The 20,890-nt window shown below is 33.3% G+C and overlaps 1 long non-coding RNA gene across 1 annotated transcript in view, besides 1 other annotated feature; it reads left to right on the top strand.

The window, feature by feature from the left end:
* Positions 1-10,830: 10,830 nt before the first annotated feature.
* LOC107985969 (uncharacterized) overlaps positions 10,831-20,890 on the top strand; it is a 119,054-nt gene continuing 108,994 nt past the window's right edge. The window contains exons 1-2 of the long non-coding RNA XR_001739832.2: positions 10,831-10,951; positions 17,780-17,891. This is a non-coding gene — a long non-coding RNA (uncharacterized LOC107985969). The remainder of the gene's footprint in view (positions 10,952-17,779; positions 17,892-20,890) is intronic.
* Positions 13,881-14,081: a silencer, noted in NCBI's record as "peak3996 fragment used in MPRA reporter construct". NCBI's record gives its function as "represses an SCP1 promoter by STARR-seq MPRAs in K562 erythroleukemia cells {active_cell/tissue: K562}" and the evidence as "EXISTENCE:reporter gene assay evidence [ECO:0000049][PMID:32103011]".

The following is a 20,890-nucleotide window of genomic DNA, read 5'->3' as shown; positions in this document are numbered from 1 at the left end:
GAAAATGGAAAAAGTCCATTATTGCCATAGTGCAGTCAGTAGAAAAGGAAATAGGAACAAGAACACAGAGTTTGAAAAAACTGTTAGTAATGATGGAATATTGCACCATCTCTACTGAGTAAAATTGAAAACTAAAAAACGTAAGGATGATTACATTTTTTCCTATTAGAGTTCCAAAACAAAAACTGTTTGTAAGTATAAAATCTTCTACCTTTCCAATAAAAGTTGGGATCTGCTGAAATAAAAACATTATGCAAATATTTATAAAATTTGCCTAGAGGATTATCTGAAATTAATTAACTTAAAATTAAGTGAGGTACAGTTGGTAACAACCAAATTTTATTTGAAATATATTGACATGGAGAACTACTAATCATATAAATTGCCTAGAAAGGAAAAAAGAGACACATGTTGGGATAGGATTGTTTGAATAGTATTTTTAAGCCATATATGTTCAGAGAGGTGAAAGAAATACACTGAATAATTTAAAATACTTAAAAGTAATTTAGCTTTTCTACTGGAATCTATAGGAATAATATAAGGCACAAAGTTGCTTGAACATTCTTAATAAATCATTTTTGTTTTTTATATCACAATGATTTAACTTTCCGTAATTTTTGGTTACAACATAGCCATATTTTCCATGATATAAAAGAGTCAATTACAAATTATCGAATTTTCCTTGTACTATCAAGCAAGTAATTTGATTTAAAAAATATGCCATGTCTTTTTCAAAATAAATGCATGGTTTTTAAACTTAAAAGGTCTTTTAAACCCTTCAATAATATTATTAAACATGTTTATTTAAACATAAACAATTGGATGACAAAAACAAGTAAATTCACTCATCCATAATTCAATAGTAAGAACCAAATCAAATTTGTTTTATTTTATAAACATTTTATGTGTTACATTCAGAATAATATGTGCTTAAATGCTACATGTGATATAGTATATTTCAATATATTAAATCAAATATATGGAACAGATTTTATTTAGCATAGAATGAAAGACAGTAATAGAATAACATTAGCAAACAGGGAGCATTCTACTTCAAAGTAGTGCAATTTACTGAAATAGTAAAAATGTTTCACTAAGGTATTTCTACATCCTATTTTTCAGCCAAATGTAAATAGAAAAATACGTGTAGAGTGCCTCATTTTGTGTTGTATAATTTATTTTCTTTATAAATATATGTAGGACATATATATTTATATACCACCTTTAAATAAAACAAGGTTGCTGAGATAAAATCAGAAAATAGAGCAAGCTAAAGTGTAGTGTAAAAAAGTAATACATACAAAGAGGGAACAAGCAAGAGCAAGACACTAAAAATGAGATAGATTTGAAGCTAATTAAAATGCATTTTTATAAACCATATACTTGTAAAGGGTAAATAACAAATTTAAATCTGACAGATCTAGTAAAAAGAAAAGAAAAACACAATTCCTTAAATGTTGAAGATTATTAATTACTCTGATGAAGAATGATTTCCTTATAATAATGCCAGAAACATATTTCAGTCACATAATTCCATAGCGAAGTAATGAACATATTCTTAACAATGCCCCCATATTTACAGGAGGAAGAAAGGAAAAAAGGGAACTTCACTCCTTATTATTGCACTTCAAGATATATATTCCAGAGACATTTTAGATAACCACAAGGGATCACTCACAGAACTATTTTTTATTATTTTTATGTTTTCTTGTTTTTGTTATCGCTTTTGTTTTGTGTAGGCAGTTAGTTGATACAAGATGTACACGGGAAGATGGAGAAATAGCAGGGGAACTTCTATAAAAATGCATTGCCAGACATTATTTAGAAATAATGAACACAAAAACATTGTCTTAAAAGTATCATGTGGAAATGTAAAAGCAGAAAGTAATTTACAATTTTAGTACAATAGAATTTAATAAAATAATACGTTTATCAGAGTGTATAAATAGTCACATGTCAAACATACTTATGAATCCTAGGAAAGGGGCAAACAAAAAGAATAAAAATTTAGAAATGAGGGTAAAAAGTAACTGAGCATATGTTGTATATATAAAAACATATATAATAATGTTTTATTTGTTTGTATGATAAACACCTATTTTTACAATAATGAAACCTTAGTATAGCAACCACAGAATACATAAGTTTTGGAAATGCTCCTTCTCAGTATGCATGTACAATAAATTATTTATTAAAATTGGGTGGATTAACTGAAATAAGGAAGATTGGAACAACAAGCCTAGTTAATTTGCATAATATTTAAAAACTAGAAATTGTCTCCACCTCCTCTTTCTGACAATAAGAATAAGTTAGTGAGGACGTTTGCCTGTAAAGCATACTTCTTTATCATGAAAATAAAATGAGTAATTTGAGAATGCTTGAACTTCAGTTTTGTACTGGAGAATGACAAATTATGTGGTCTACATAAAATGCAAGATATGCATATGTATGTATACACACACAAATACATACATACATATAAATGCAAGTAAAAAATATGTCTAAAACGTAGTAAAAAAGAGATGGAAGATGTGGTTATGTGTTAAATATTATTATTTATTGTGAAAATAGTAAATATTTTGTGGAGAATAAATAAGCACTTTCTAAATTTAACAAATGAAGAGTAAAATTATATTACAATTATTGTGAATTATAGAAATAATCATGAAGTTTATAAACAGAAATATTTGAAAAAGATTGAATTTGAAAACCTCAAATGAGTGTAGTCTGGTAAGATGAAGGAATATAGCGCATTAGGGAGTTTTCTATTCATGATTTGTTTAGCTTGAGATTTTAACTTTACCAAATGAATAAAATTACGTGAAGTTTGGACCTAGGATTCATGGGATTAAGTCTAGTGAACATAATCTGCAGAGCTGAAGATTAAGCTTTTCAAATCGACCTAATAAGCAGAAATGGTCCCTGCCACATAAACTTGTAGTAGCTAAAGTTTCCCCAACTGTGTTCCACGAAAAAAATTAAGAAATATATGAACAAATGAAAAGCTATAAGGCCTGCAGTGCTGTTTTTGGTTATTTAATACATAGCGTCATGTAACTTCCTAAATTCATTTTTGTCAACTAGTGCAATGCATCTCTTGGAAGTAACTGTAATAATTTGTGTGTCATTCTGTGCCTTCTTTTGTAAGTCTTTGCTCATCCTGACAAGTGAGACTTAAAGATACTGTCAATAAATGAACAACAAATATCATGGAACAAAAACATGCAACAAATATTGTAAAACTTATAATTATGAAATAATTATAATTGCTGATAGGCAGAATGGCAAAAATAGCAAAATGGTCTATAGTGGCAACATTATGCGGAAACATTTTAGTAAAACCCTGAGATTCTTTGCCATGAATTCAGTTGTCCTCAAGCCAAGGAGAGGTACTGTACTCACATGCAGTTGGTAGAACATCATAATTGGGAGGACTGGGGAGAGTTATTTATGAAACGTGGTGAAAGGAATCAAGGATACCAAACATTCCGTAGCATTTGTATCAGTCCTTTTCAAAGAATTGTTGCACTCAAATTGTCAATAGTGCCCTGGTGAGAAACTCTGTGTTTAAGCTCCTACTTCTCCATTCGTTATCCTATGAACTTTGAATAACTGTTAATTATAATTTCCATATTTATAGATTAGAAAGTATTGTGTCTGTCTATTTTACAGTGATAATGCAGTATTATCTTTATATACGTAGAATCCTATGAAACAATAGCTTTTGTAAGTTATATCCTTGAATAATATAGAATCAAAAGTAATTTAGTTCTCTTAAACATCTCTCAACTGATATCTTTAATGGCAAAACTACAATTTAAAAATAACTTTAAGAAAACCCATGGAGTTTAATGCATAGTAATTTTTAAAGATATATAATCTCATATAATAAACTGAACATCTACCAGCTTTCTTCCCACATATTACAAAAAGCTCTGTTAAAATTATGGCAAAAAAATCACTTCTTTAAAATAAATATTTGTTGTTGGTTTACAAAACTGTGGCGGAGGTTGCAGTGAGCCGAGATCGCACCATTGCACTCTAGCCTGGGAGACAGAGTGAGATAATTCCGTCCCTCCCCCGCCTCAAAAAACTACTAACCCCAAAAACATAGACATTGTTTTTATGAAAGCAAGAATAAGACACTTCCCTGATAGCTATAAAGTATTGTGAAACCCAGTAAACAATTAAATGCTGTATTTAAAGTGTTTAAGAGCCAAATAAAATTTATAAATTTAGTGTAAATATGCTTCAAAACCGGAAAAAAAATACTGAGGATCTATTTAGACAAGCAAAACTGAGATTGTTCATCACCTACGAACCAGCTTTACTATAACCAGTACTTGAAAGAGTAATAATGAAAAACAAGCAAAGAAACAAAATACAAAACCAAAAGCAGAGGGAAAAACAAAATTGCACTGAGGAGTGAGAGACAATTTTAAAAAGGTGTTTGGTATATATAAAACAATACTAACTGAAAATTGACCCTACAAATAAACAATACAGGCCTTGTGGATTTTAAAATATATACAGTCATCTCTTGATATCCATGGGGGATTTGTTCCAGAACTTCCCACAAATACCAAAATCAGCAGGTCCTCAATTTCATTAAATAAAACGGCATAGCATCACATGACTTCTGTACTTCCTTCCTTGCACTTTAAATTGCCTCTATATTACTTATAATACCTAATACAATGTAAATGCTATATAAATAATTGTTATACTGTATTTTTTAAAATTTGAATGATTTTTATTGTTGTTTTGCTTTTTGTTTTTGTTTTTTCTGATCATTCTTGATCCACGGTTGTGCAAAAGCAACTGTAGACTATAGGTAAAACAATAAAAATATATGTAAAACAGTCTCAGAAATATGTACAAAGAATGTAACAAAGATGATTTTCTATTTTCTAATATTAATGAAATGAATGATTTCCATTTATCCACCTCATAAAAGAATGAAAAATTTAAAAATAAAATGAGAAAATAATAAACTAACTCTTAAAAAGGAAAGCAAAGCACCATTTGACATATACTATTATATTCATAAAACTGAAACTTATAGCTATAAAACTGTAAATCTTTGATATTTATTTATTCTTTCAATAACTATTATAATTTTATTTTTCCAAGCCTTATTAAAGTATAATTGACAAAATTATATATATTTAAGATTTACAATGTAATATTATAATATACACACATATTTTGAAACAATTACCACAATCAAGCTAATTAACATCCATCACTTCACATAGTTACTATTAGTTTGTGTGTGGTAAAAATATTTCAGATCTACACTCTTGGAGACTTTCAAGTAAAGGCATACCATGGAGATATGGCAAGTTTGATTCCAGATCACCATAATAAAGCAAGTATCACAATAAGGACTCATTTTATTTTTTTCTTTGGTTTTTCCCTGAATATAAAAATTTATGTTTACACTATACTGTAGTTGATTAAGTGTGAAATAACATTATGGTTAAGAAAACAATAAACATACTTTGATTTAAAATAAAAACAACAAATATGTGATGTTGTTTTTTTGATAACATTTTATCCACAGTAGAACTTCTTTCAAAATTGGTCTGTCCTCTTGAAACTTGCTGCTGTTTTTACCAAATAAGTTTATGTAATACTCTAAATTTTTTGTTGTCATATTGATAATGTTTACAGCATCCTTTACAGGAGTAAATTCCATCTCAAGAAACCACTTTCTTTGCTCAACCTAAAGATGCAAGTTCTCATCTGTTCAAGTTTTATTACGAGATTGTGAAAACTTAGTCACATCTTCAGGCTCCACTTCTAGTTCTAGTTCTCTTGCTATTTCTACCACATCTGTAGTTACATCCACCACTGAAGTCTTGACGGTTTCAAGGTCATCCTCCATGAGGGTTGGAATCAATTTCTTCTAAACTCCTGCTAATGTTGATATTTTGACATCCTCCATGAATAAAAAATGTTGTTGATATCTAGAATGGTGAATCTTTTCCAAAAGGTTTCTAATTTACTTTGCCTAGATCAAAGGAATCCCTGCCTATTCTAGTCTTACATAGTGTATTTCTCAAATAATAAAACCTAAAGTCAGAATTAGTCTTTGATCCATGGGTTGCAGAATGAATATTGTGTTAGCAGGCAGAAAAACATTAATCTCGTATATCTCCAGCAGAAGTCTTTGCTGACAATATGCATTATCAATGAGCAGTAATATGTTGAAAGAAGCTACTGATTTTCTGAGGAGTAGTTCTCAACAGCGGGCTTAAAATATTCAGGAAATCATGCTGTAAACACATGTACTAACTTCAAGTCTTTTGTGTTCCATTTATAGAGCACAGGCAGAGTGGATTTAATATAAATCTTAAGGGCTGTAGGATTTGCGGAACGGTAAATAAATACAAGCTTCACCTTAAAGTCACCAGCTGCATTTGTTCCTAACAAGAGATTCAGCCTTGTTAGTCTGAAGCCTTCTTCTCTCAGCTCGTCAAAGTCGTTCTCCATTCAGCTTTGTTCCATTGCTGGTGAGGAACTGTGTTCCTTTGGAGGAGGAGAGGCGCTCTGCTTTTTAGAGCTTCCAGTTTTTCTGTTCTGTTTTTTCCCCATCTTTGTGGTTTTATCTACTTTTGGTCTTTGATGATGGTGATGTACAGATGGGTTTTTGGTGTGGATGTCCTTTCTGTTTGTTAGTTTTCCTTCTAACAGACAGGACCCTCAGCTGCAGGTCTGTTGGAATACCCTGCCTTGTGAGGTGTCAGTGTGCCCCTGCTGGGGGTGCCTCCCAGTTAGGCTGCTCGGGGGTCAGGGGTCAGGGACCCACTTGAGGAGGCAGTCTGCCCGTTCTCAGATCTCCAGCTGCGTACTGGGAGAACCACTGCTCTCTTCAAAGCTGTCAGACAGGGACATTTAAGTCTGCAGAGGTTACTGCTGTCTTTTTGTTTGTCTGTGCCCTGCCCCCAGAGGTGGAGCCTACGGAGGCAGGCAGGCCTCCTTGAGCTGTGGTGGGCTCCACCCAGTTCGAGATTCCCAAATGCTTTGTTTACCTAAGCAAGCCTGGGCAATGGCGGACGCCCCTCCCCCAGCCTCACTGCCGCCTTGCAGTTTGATCTCAGACTGCTGTGCTAGCAATCAGCGAGACTCCGTGGGCGTAGGACCCTCCGAGCCAGGTGCGGGATATAATCTCGTGATGCGCCGTTTTTTAAGCCTGTCGGAAAAGCGCAGTATTCAGGTGGGAGTGACCCGATTTTCCAGGTGCCGTCTGTCACCCCTTTCTTTGACTAGGAAAGGGAACTCCCTGACCCCTTGCGCTTCCCAAGTGAGGCAATGCCTCGCTCTGCTTCGGCTCGCGCACGGTGCGCGCACCCACTGACCTGCCCCCACTGTCTGGCACTCCCTAGTGAGATGAACCCGGTACCTCAGATGGAAATGCAGAAATCACCCGTCTTCTGCGTCGCTCACGCTGGGAGCTGTAGACCGGAGCTGTTCCTATTCAGCCATCTTGGCTCCTCCCCCCAATTATTTGTATATTTTAAGTTATCCTGCATATTTCCTATCTCTTGTGTCTTTGTACTGTATTTTGGATAATTTATTTAGCATTTTCTTTTAGTTGACTAATTCTCCAGATTTGTCTAGTTCTCTTTAAAGTTCATTCATTGAGTTGTTAATTTCTGAAAGTCATGTTTTAATATGTTTTTGACATCACTATTTTATGTTTTTGCTAAAACTTCAAATATCTAAAATCTTTGATGACCCAAATTTGCTTTGACAATTTCTCTCACTGTAGTTTTTTTTTTTTTTATGGTGGCTAATTTTCTCATGCCATTGTCATTGTTTGAGTTCATGTGCAGGGTGAAATTTTTTGCCTGCCTGTTATGTTTCTGAAGGTGTAAGACAACATTTCCCAAGGTTTTGATTTCTGCCATCCATGTTACCAAACAATATTAGGGAAACAAAAAACACTGGTCAAGGCAGATGCTGCCTTTACAAATCATATACAAATTTGGAGTCACGTTTCCACTATGTTTTTGTTTTATAAATGTTTTATTTAATATTATACACCTTCAGCTATATAAGTATATGTGTATATGTATATATACATAATATATAAAGTGATTTTATTTTTGAGATCCAAAATTATTATCCATAAGTTGGTATAACAAAAGTGAATCCTTTCACTTCAAAAGCAAACTATTTTTTTTCTACCATTGTCTAGGACCTCCAGTACAATGTTGAATACCACTGATTTTTGCAGAGATTCTTTTAATTTTCTTGGAGTTTATAAAAATAATCTTTATATTTCACCTATAATTAGGATGTTTGCTTGATATTCCTGTTTAAAAAAATACACAAAAATGCTTTGAACATGGTAGTGTCTATTTTTGTTTACTCATATAAACTAGACCTTAAGAGATTGGCCTCTAAGCTATAAAAAGCATTTTTGATTATGTATGCTTCTGAATACATATGTTGTGGGAAGGTGGAGAACCCCTTTCTTTAAAGGCATTTATTATTATATACCTCATCTACTGGAAAAAGTTAGGGACTCTAACTTTCAATTCAAATAAAAGATCAAAGGAAAAAAGATAACGTGTAAGTCAATAAATATGTTCCTTTACAAAACTATTAAGAACCTGCTAATATTCATGAAATTTTTTCATTGTTTTTGCTCACTTAACCATCATGGTCACTATATTATGCTTATTATACAGAAAAGAAAACTGAAGACAAAAATGTAATGCAATTTCCCAGAGTCACACAAATTTTAATATGTTTTAAAGGAACGTAATATTCATACAAATAGCCAAAAGTTCAGAATTCTAGAGATTAAAATTGTCATCTAGTTCATTTAATTGCCATGAATATTGTGGCCTAAATGTTTTATGTGATCTTCAACTTGATACACACAAACACACACACACACATCCTAAATTATGCTTTAATCATGATTTGTGTATATGCAGATTTCTTTAACAAATGACATTTTGCATAAAGAATAATTATTGAAGCCTCCATTTCCCAAGCCCAAAGTGATATGATTAACTGTCAACCTTCTATCTAATAAGAAATTAGTCCTGTCATTTGACAATTATTACAATGAATCCAAGCACTCTCCCTAAAATTAAATTTTAAAACTCCAGAAATTGTCCCTCAGAAATTCTATCTCTATATTTTTAAAGTCAAATATTTTTCATATTACTTAAATTTCTTATGCGTTTAAGCTTCAATGTTATTCATTGGACAAAATGATTATAATTATGTAGTATATGCTTTATATGCTTGGAGTAAATGGATTTTCAAGGAAGAATAATAATTCCAGTCACTTTTTAAAAAGATGAATGAGACGATATAACTAACTATGGAACTTTATGTATAGAAGTAATGCAGAAATGTCATTCAGTTCTTCTCCTGTTTATATGTACTAATATGAGGCATAAACATATTAAATCTGCCCATAATTACCACAGATAGTTATATTTGAAAATTAAGATGCTTAATGTAGAAGAAAATTAAGACTACTCAAAAAAACCAACTTTCTTGTGATTGAAACCAGAGAATATTCCCTCTTCATACCATTGTCAATGAACGCATATTTTACATTGAAAACAGATAGTATTTTAAAATATTCAAGGCTCATAAAATTAGAAAAATCTAGAGCCAAGTTCAAACACTTTTACCTACAAATTGTGTAATTTTGATACATTGTATTACTTTTACATGCCTTGTATGCCTTTGCTTTAAAATATATATAATGATAATGAATGTTGTGATAATTTATTGAGTCAAGCTTTGTAAAGAGCCCAAGAATGTGGGCCTTCAGCAATTTTGTTTCACCTTCTATGTATTTTACTATGGTATTTTTCTCACATGGTATTCTATATTCTACCCTCATGTTTTCCATATTCAACAGGTTTTGTGTCATGATACTATCAATTCTCCTTTTTCTGTTTTAATTCTAATTTTTCCTGTGTTATTTATTTTATTTAACATATATTACAGGAAGAAAATTTAAAGAAAACTGAAGCCACTTTAAATAATATTTTGATCTTGTTTTATTCAGACTTTCATTCACTACATTGTGCTTAGAAACTCTTTGCCGAGTTAAATGGACTGGAAAGTATTAAAGTCAGACCAAATGCTAATAACCCTGTTTAGAGAAAACAAATACTGTTACCCTTTGTTCAGATCAAATATAAAATCAATTTACACAGAGTCTTGAAGCAGATCCCACTGGTAAAGTCATGCTAAAATGTCTACTTTCTATGTTACTAGTATATATTGCTTATAAAAATAATACATTATCTATATGCAATTGTTTAATTATATGTTATCTGGAAGTCATTCATATTTGGAAGCCATTTTCCAGATTTCCAATAGGAAAAAGTGCAAAAACTTATAGATTAAAAAGAAAATTGTTATTAGGAATTTGTCTCCATAATATTTAATCTATCAGTATGATTATAATCAGGAGCTTAATCTAAATGGAATATAGAAAATCAAAGAGAAAGCCTTGGGTTACACACTTCTGTTACTTGGAAATTCTGTTACAAAAAATACTTGTTCTTTTTTCTCAAATAGTTGTTGCGTATTAAGTTTACTAAACTGAAATTTTAGTCACCCTTTGGTTATTGTTCCTATGTCTGCTGAAGAGTAACATACTCCTCAGATTAAAATAGCTTGGCTATTATTAAACAAAATCTGATTTTAGGAAAGGTGTGAAATACCTTTAATATATATGAAAATTTAGCACCAAATATCAGCAAGTAACAAGGTAAACTATTAGTTATATATGATGTCCTATTTTCTTTTCTTCTTCTTCTTTTTTTTTTTTTTTCTTGTCAGAGTCTCCCACTGTCACCTGGGCTGGAGTGCAATGGCACCATCTCTGCTCACTGCAACCTCTGCCTCCTGGGTTCAAGCGATTCTCCTGCCTCAGCCTCCTGAATAGCTGGGATTACAGGTACCTGCCACCAGCCTGGCTAATTTTTTTGAATTTTTAGTAGAGACAGGGTTTCATTATTTTGGCCAGGCTGGTCTTGAACTCCTGACCTCATCATCCATGCCCCTCGGCCTTCCAAAGTGCTGGGATTACAGATGAGAGCCACTGTGCCCAGCCTATTATGTCCTATTTTTGAATGCCAGATAAACATATCCCAATTTCAACTTCCGTCAGTAAGTGTATCAAATTTTTCGAAAATAATATTTTAATCGTGTGTTAGTACATAATCTATATCTGGAAAACTCATAAGCTCTTCTTTTATTTTAAAGAATACTTGCATAAAATAGAAGGTGTTTATAATGACTAGTTTCTAAAGATGGTCCTCAGTTTGTCCTATGCTGATACATGTTTATCAACTGACTTTCCAAAATCTTAGAAAATAAATTTAAAATCCCTAATACATTGTGTTTGCTGATTTGTCTGGTGTAAATGTTCCATATGATATCCTGAACAAGGAATTGTGAAGATATATGCATAATAATTTCTCAAGATCCTATATGTATATTTGTTTTCTAACTCATTTAATGAACAGTGTAATTAATGCTGGTGGATTCATTTCATGTTGCATGGAATTTTACTGGCTTAAAGTAAGAATGCTACAGCTCCAATACTTATTGGCTGCTTAAATTGATATACACATTTGCGTAAATAAGAGAATTACCAAGGACTTTTTACAATTATATTTACATGGTTAACGAGATTTTAAATGAGTTTCATTGCCAATTATCTCTAGAGGAACAATATTTTAATGTGTCACTTTGAATAAAGCTTTTTCAGAAACAGTTATACACTGCATTCTCCAGTAATTATGGTTTAAAATTAACATTAATACTTAATCATAGTTTTGTAAATTACAGCAGCAGCAAACACATGCTACAAGACATTAGAGATTAGTGATTAGATGATTGATTACATTGATTTCATTAGAGACTTGCCATTTTTCACCTATTTTAGCATCATCTCAATCTCTCTCTATTCTAGGGTTCTAATCATAGAATAATTATTGTGTTTTCTTTTAATCTTTAAAGAGATTAATATAACTTCAAGTATTCAAATTAGATCAGGGAAACAATTCTAGATTCCCATCTTTCATATAGTATCATTTTTTTCTTGAAACCATTTTTGATATCCAGACTGTATTACTCAATCTGCTCTAAATATTAAAAATAACAAAGGTTTTACATATGTAATTAGGAATTTATAAGACTTGGCAGACCTGAAGGAGAAAAATGAGAGAATCCAACACTGACGTCCTCAGTTTAAAACACTGAAATAGATAATTTTCAAAAGCCAGAAAGTCACTGGCATTTTTTTATCATTTTATTTTGGAATAAGTTTAGACTTACAGAAAAGTTATAAAAATAATACCAATAGTACAGAATTCCTTCTCACAGCTTCTACTAATGTTAACATTTTGCATAACCATTGTATAATTATTAAAACAAGGAAATTAACACTGACACAGTACTACTAATCTATAGATTTTATTCAAATTTTACCAGTTTCTCACTAATGCTTTTTATTTTCTAATCCAGAGTCTATTCCAAGTTTCCACATCACATTAGTGTTGCCATGTCTCCTCAATCTCCTCCACTCATTACATATCTTCAGATTCTTTTTCCTTTGTCTTTGAGTCATTGGCAGTTTTAAAAAGCATTGGCAGAATGTCTGTTAATTTATGATTGCCTGATTTTTACTCATGATTATACTCAGGTAATGCATGGTTGGCCAGAATGCCACAGAAGCAGTGTTGTACTCTTGTCAGTACATCATACCAGTGTTATCACTGGCAAAGCTGTTTGCTACAATTTTGAAGAGTCTTTGAAAAGCAACCACCAACTGCTTCAATTTGCACCAGTGAAATGACTAATTCTCAGGATATCATTAGGAAGCAACTGTTCATTTCACATCTGCCTACACCTAGGCTGTATATGTCTCTAGGAAAAAAACCAGAATTTCTTTCTTTACCTTCCAAAATTGTACACATTTTCTCTCACTGGACTTCTAAGCCAGGGTCATGCAAGTAAGGCAATTTTGGAAAGTGTAGCTTCTACATTTTCTAAGTAATAGAGAGAGAATCTATAATAGGAACCGGTAGTATCCATTTGACAACAGACAAACCAGGGACCCCCAACAAGAAATTTAAAATAGAATATTTTCAGTGTAACTGATAAGACAGTATCAGCAATATAATCAATGTACATTTTTACATTAATAATCTCGATTTTTGAATCAGTTTACAATTTACATAGCATATTTCCAATGTATATTCTTAACTGAATCATTACAATAGCCATGAAATTTAGGTAATAAAGGAAAAAGCTTCCACAATTTTACCAATTAGGAAGATATTATTTACATAATGTACCCAGTAAGTGAAAAAACCTGAAGTTCTTATATTAATTTAGTACCAAATCTAATGAGTTTTCCACTATTTTACACTGTCCTCTAACTCTTGAGACAATAACAATTACTTCATAAAGTCATGTTACAATAATATCTCATTTCTCTTGCCTACTAAATATATATATATATATATATATAAAATTCTCTATATTAGGGATTAAGTCATTTTTAAGAGGTGCAAACCTACAAAAGGGAAACATATTTAAAATAAAAATCACAAGCCCATAGAATAAATGATTTCATTATTTTGTGTTAATAAAAGATAACATATTCTTTTATATTTGAATAAAATGTGTCAAATATATACACGGATGTGTGTATGTAAAGAATAGTTTAATTCTATATAATATTCATGTAATGAGGGTGTATTAGTTCATCTTCACATTGCTATTAAGTTACTACATGCAGCTGGGTAATTTACAAACAAAAGAGATTTAATTGACTCACACTTCCACGTGGCTGTGGAGACCTCGGGAAACTTACAATCATGGTGGAAGGCAAAGGGGGAGCAGGCACCTTCTTCACAAGGCGACAGGAAAAAGAGAGCTAGACAGGGTGAGTGCCACACTTTTAAAACTATCACTTCTCATGCTCCTCATGAGAACTCCCTCACTATCACGAGAACAGCATGGGGTAAACGGCCCCCAGGAACCAATCACTTCCCACCAGCTTCCTCCCTTGACATGTGGGGATTACAATTTGAGATGAGATGTGGGTGGGGACACAGAGTCAAACCATATCAGAGGGAGAGAGAAATAAAATTTTTGGCAACTTTTCTGTCATGTTTATTATTTAGATACAGAAAAGTAATTTATTGGGGGATATTAACTACCATTCTAAAGGGCAAGAGAATCAGGCCCTGAAGCTGTTTCTGCAGAAACAGTAACCAACCATGCCTCAGGGACTGCTCTAACCAAATGCTACTGTTTGGCAGAAGATACCAGAACCTCTTCCAGTGCTGCCCTGAAGAAACACACATCTCTGTTCTGGTGCTGCAATGGCCAGAAGACTGATGCCCCTGCATGTGGCTTGCTCCTCACTTTGTTTTTTTCCTGAGTCTGAGTCTTGGATACTCTGCCTGATTGGCTAAACCTGCCTTCTTAGATGGAGGGTAGCCTGGTAAAGGGATTTTTTTTTTTTTTGGCTTCTACCTTTGAATAGTAAAACCCCAAATGCAGAGAGACTATTTTGAAAGAGGCTGAGAGTTTTCAAGTGACCCACATCCCCTGCAATGAGTAAGGACATCCCTGACATAGGTGTAAATTGCTGGGGTGCAGGAGATTGAAGAGTGAGGGGGTTTCAGATACTGGCAGCCAGTGTTTCATGGAGGAGTTAGCCAGTTTGGGGCTATTTCAGACAGAACCCTAAAGATACAGACAGTTTGCTTCTCACCTAGCAAGGTTCCAAGATAAATGCTGGCATTTAGCAGGAAAAAGTAAATGAATAAAAATGATGAACCATCAGGCATAGTGGTCTGACATTTCAAAGTATGCAGAGGGCTTCAGGTAGTTGTCAGCTTCTCAGAGGTATGATAGAATACAAACACTGGAGTTATTAAATGTTTCAATGTGTTGACTTTAAAGCCTCAGGAGTTAAAGAAGTTGCTAATATTATATTATTTAGGAATTTCAATAATTTGTTTTAGTATTAAACTGGTATTAAATGACTTTTTCTTTCATATTAATCATAGTAACAAAAAATTAATGTAAATATGATATTTATTAATATTCTCTCATAAGTCAAATCTATCATTTATAATTACCATGCTTAGAATATTGTGTCACTTGTGGAAGAATATTTTCTACATATCCTCTTTTTCTATGACCTCAGCTGTTTTTAAGTCTCTGTTCATCTTCTGAAATCTATTCCTAAAAAACTTTTCTATCTTCAAAAGTGGAAATCCATTCCGGTTCTCACTTCAAGGTGGAAAACCTTTCTGACCTCCATTACCAGCCTCCAATTTCTGATTACACAGCTCAGCCCTCTCTAGATGAATAGCTCACTCCATCAAACAAGAAGATAGTTCCTTTGTGTTTACTAATCATGAAATTATCCTGGTTCATGTCTTTTCAGCTTGTTTACATGGTAGGTCACTCAGATATCTGTCTTAGATTGTAATCTTTTATAGAAAAAATACTATTCTGACCTGGTACAAAATTAATACAAATCAGACACCTAATTTTTCAGGCAATTAGAGTTACTGGCATATTGTTCTCAATAAGACTCTCACAGCCTTTTGTATACTAAGAATTTTGGAGTTTGAATGGCTTCATAAAGATACTTCACTTTTTGAATAGGTAAAGCATTGTCTTTGATGTGTAACTAATGTGTCTGAAAGGCACCTCTAAAAAGGATCTCTAATCAATTCAGGGCACCTGATTTCTCTTAGCAGAGCACCAATAGCGTGTTCAAGAGTTTCTAAGGGCTGTTAAATGTGATTCCAAGGCAGAATAGTTGTAAGGTCCCTGAACTTATTTAAATGCTGAAAACAAAAAGAGGGCTATTTTGAATCACATGCAAAGAATAAAATAAATGACCTCGACCCTTCAAAAATAGTATATCTTTTTGGATGATGTCTTAATGAGGTAGTGAAGAGGACATTGTACCTAAAACACACAAGAGGTCTATAAGTGCTCACTTCTTAGCATTCCAACAAAAGACGTTTTCTACAAGAGCTGCTCATAATTTTTCCTTTTCCTTTTGTTTTCTCCTTACTCTCTCCTTTTCTTCCACATTTATTTTCTTTTAATTCTGTAACATTCCTCAGGCCTTTCTCCTGTGCATTGATCTGCAAGCATAAAGTTTTGTGGTTTTTTTCCCATAGTTCTCTTCATGTCTTAACCGAGAGCAAAATGAAACCATAATTGGAAGAAAAGAAGATTGTAAATACACACATACACACCCTGGAGGGAATTGTATACAGCCCCTTTATACATAGATTAAAGATTAAACACTTGATGTTCATCCTTCTAGTTTTGCATGAAATCAGATATATCTATATCTATCTATATATATCTATATATCTATATCTATCTATATATATCTATATATCTATATCTATCTATATATATCTATATATCTATATCTATCTATATATATCTATATATCTATAGATATATAAATAGACATATAGATATATATATAGATTACTCATATACTTACTTTTTATTTTATATCACTTATTCCCCATCATGGTACGTCACTGTTTTTCAGCTAATATCAGGAACTATGTTGCAAATATCGATTTAATATGTATAAGAATAGCTTAGAAAGATTCACATTGCTCGTTATTAATTTTTACTTTTAATTTTGTATACTTCCATTGATTTTAAATAGAAGTTTTCAAAATCAGAAAATTGTTTGAATTTAATAATTTTAAGAGCCATTTGTTTTAACTGTTGAAATTGATTCAGAATAACTGCTCCAAATACTTATTTTTTTAAGAAGGCAGTAAATTATTTTAATTTTGCAATATTTTTTACTATATTACATTATTTTCTTTATCTATAAAACGATGATCAAGGTATGCCCACCTAAAGAAATAATGGGAAAAATAGTTAATGAAATTACCTTTTCTTAATATACATTTAAGATAATTTAATCAAACATAGAATTGCAAATGGGCAAAGGCAGAAGTTCTAGAAATTTGCCTGATTATTACAACTAATTGTATTTTTTTTTATTTCTTAGTGTCAATTACTTCTTTGCAGTCTCCACAATGGTTTTTGGATCTAGGATTTACTCTAGATATTTTTTAATTCCCCAGAAAATTTTCATTACCAGTGAGACTTGGTAATTCCTGCCAACAGTGTTGTTCTAGCCTTCTCCCCTCAATCTTCTGACTTGACAGATTTACGAAAGCCTCTCACTGCCTGTGTCCAGTTGCTGCTGAAAATCTTTCTAGGCACTTGCTCCTATTTCTACTGCTCAATCCTATTTTTTCTCTTTCGCTTTGCTGATTCTTCTCTTTGATCCTGTTCTTGCTCTTTGATTGCCCTCTTGGGTCAACACTTCTGACCATCTATTGCTTTCTAATCTATATATATACCTGGAAATTGGGCTTTTATTTTGCAATCAAGGGTCAATCCATTCGCTCCCACACACACCCATAACTCATAGTATAGAAAATGAACCAACCTCTATTTTTAGTTTAGAAGAGTTACTTCACACATCTAGATGAAATTACTGAAAAAAATTGTCCTAATTTTCTGATGTTTTCCCATTTTTAATAAATGTATAGGTTGCTATGACTGAGTGTAGAGATAGAATCTGTGAGGATATGACAAAAGTTAAGTGAGGTCATAAGTGTGGAGCTTTAATTGATAGGGCTGCTGCCCTTTTAACAAGAGGTGACTTATAAACTTGCCTCTCCCCATGCTCCAGGGCACCTAAGCATGCGGCAAGAAGACAATCATCTGAAAGACAGGAAAAGGGCCCTTACCAAGTATTGAAATGGCCGGCACCTAGATCTTGGACTTCTCAACGTTCCAGAACTGTGAGAAACAAATTTTTATTCTTTAAGCCACCCAACTTGTGGTATTTTGTTATGGCAGCCTGAAGGCACTAATACATAGATATTACATGCAATCCTATAATCTGGGAATACTCTGTAATCAGAATTGGTATGAGCCCAGTAAGATCATTTTTTATTTTGAGATTAACTTTTAAAGCCTATGCCATTGTTTGGGTAAACTATCATGCCTTTATTTGGAAGATCAGGCAGATTACATAGCATTTTGTCTGCCTGAAATTCACATGTAAATACCTCATAGGCTGAGATTATACAATTGAATTTTGTATTCTATTTTATAGATAAAAAACGAAGTCAAGATGTGCTTTTATGCAATCTCCAAAAATTGTATTAAGGTCTTATCAATGAATACAATCATTGACCAGTCTCCCTCTGCAGTAGCGTAATAACTGAGGTCAAAATGATAATGCTTAGGAAAGTTATTTCTAAAAATTTAAATATATCCAGTTTTTGTTGATACAACACAGTTAAAATTTGTTGAAAAAGATTATTTCTATTATTTTTTAATATTCATTCATTCATTCTTTAAACATATTTATGGAGTATCTAATACTTGCTTAATATGAAAGTATGCATTGGACACCATCAAGACAAATACAACAATGATCTGTGACCTCAAGGGGTACAGATACTATTGAACAATATTCAAACATGTTTGGAGGGGTGTAGACAGGGCAATAATGAGAGTGCATGAGTCAAGTCCTGAATCCAGAATGTACTTAGCAAAAAGGAAACTAAAAGCAATTAACCATCAATAAGAGAGCAATTTAGACAAAGAAAGTAATTTGTGCAAAGCAATAGAAGGGAGAGAGAACAGTACAGCTATCTACCAGAATGTGACAGGGCAAGGTCAGATATTGGAAGGTAGAATGAAAATTATAAACTTATCAGAAACCAAATTATGGAGGACGGTCCATAACATGCTGAGAAGTCAATGGGGGCAGAGCACGGTAGCTCATATCTGTAAGCTCTGCAGTTTTGAAGGCCAAGGCAGGAGGATCACTTAAGTCCAGGAGTTCCAGACCAGCCTGGACAACATCGCAAGAAGTCCTGAAAAATAATTAAGTTAATGGGGAGATTCTGAAAAGTTTTAAGCAGCAATAGTGTTAGATTTAGATATTATACTATTTACTATGATTGCAGTGTAAAGAACTGATAGCAATGGGATAGTATTGAAAGGAACTGAATCACTCTTGGAGCCATTATAATAGGACAGCTGAAAGTTGATTAGGGCCTTATGTAGGTGAATAACAAAGAGAATGATATAAGTAGTCAGAGTAATGCTCATGATGGAAAAGAAAAGATGCAAAAATCAGTTCGAAGTGTGGCCAGGCGCGGTGTCTCACGCCTGTAATTCCAGCACTTTGGGAGGCTGAGGTGGGTGAATCACTTGAGGTTAGGAGTTCGAGACCAGCCTGGCCAACATGGTGAAACCGCATCTCTACTAAAAATACAAAAATTAGCTGGTGTGGTGGTGTGTGCCTGTAGTCCTAGCTACTCAGGACACTGAGGCAGGAGAATCACTTGAACCCGAAAGGCAGAAATTGCAGTAAGCCAAGGTCATGCCACTGTACTCCAGCCTCGGTGACAGAGCAAGACTCAGTCTCAAAAAAAAAAAAGAATAAAATATGGAAAAGGGGATACTTAATGACTAGGCAACTGTATATGTTGTGGTTTCTCTCTTTAAGATGGGGGAGAAAACATCATGTGCTCAATAATTAATTTTTAATTAACAGATAATTCATACATAATGTATTATAACATTGTAGTCTAATATGTGATATAACAAAATCTAGTATGGTGGTTATAGCATAGTATTTCTTTTTATGACATCTTCCCTGTGAAATCACACTTGTCGTATCTTTTGGTAGGCAAAATAATGCCTCCTTCCCCCCAAAGATGTCTATACCCTAATTCCCAGAATCTGAGAACACTTTACATGGCAAAAGACACTTTGCAGATGTGATTAATGTTAAGGACCTTTGAGGTGGGGACAGTATCCTGAATTGTCCAGGTGAGCCCAAGATAATCACATGAGTCCTTAAAATATGAAGTACCTTTCCCAGCTTGGTCAAAGAGTGATGTGAGTTTAGAAGAGACAGACAAATGTTGCTGGCTTTGAAGATGGAAGAACGAGCCACAAGCAAGATAATGTGGGTTGCCTCCAGGAGCTAGAAAAGACAAGGGAAACGATTTTCCTCTAAAACCTTTGTGTTAGACTGTTCCTGCATTGCTATAAAGAAACACCTGAGGCTGGGTAATTTATAAATAAAAGAGGTATTTTTTGGGGTCACAGTTTTTGGTCACAGCCCACAGTTTGGCAGGCTTTACAGGGAGCAGGGTTCTGGCATCTGCTCGGCTTCTGGGCAGGCCTCAGGAAGCTTACAATGATTGAGAAGGGTGGAAGGGGAGCAGGTGTCTCACATGGCAAGAAGAGGAGCAAGAGAGACAGGAAGAAGATACCACATACTTTTAAACAGCCAGATCTCTCAAGAACTCGTTCACTATCATGAGGAAATCACCAGGAGGATAACACTAAACCATTCATGAGAAATCCACCCCCATGATCCAATTACCTCTTACCAGGACCCACTTCCCACAATGGGGATAACAATTCAGCATGAGATTTAGAAGAAACAAGATCCAAACTATATCAGCTTCCAAAAAGAAACACAGTCCTGAGGACATCTTGACTTTAGCTTGGTGAGATCTGTCAGTACTTATTACCTATAGAACAGTAGAATACTCAGTTTGTGTTTTGTATGCCACCAAGGGTGTGGTAATTTGTTACAACTGTAATAGAAAATGATTACATATTTTTATACTAAGAGTGAGGTGCTGCTGTAACAATTGCCAAAAAAATGTGTGAATGGTTTTGCAGTCAGACATTACAAAAATTTAGAATAATTTGTAGAGTATAATGAAAAAGAAAAACTAGATTGCCTTGAACAGTTAGCAGAATT

Source organism: Homo sapiens, chromosome 2 (assembly GCF_000001405.40).
Source record: "Homo sapiens chromosome 2, GRCh38.p14 Primary Assembly".
NCBI lineage: Eukaryota > Metazoa > Chordata > Mammalia > Primates > Hominidae > Homo > Homo sapiens.
The sequence above is the reverse complement of the archived record's forward strand: the minus strand, read 5'-3'. Positions and strand labels throughout refer to the sequence as shown.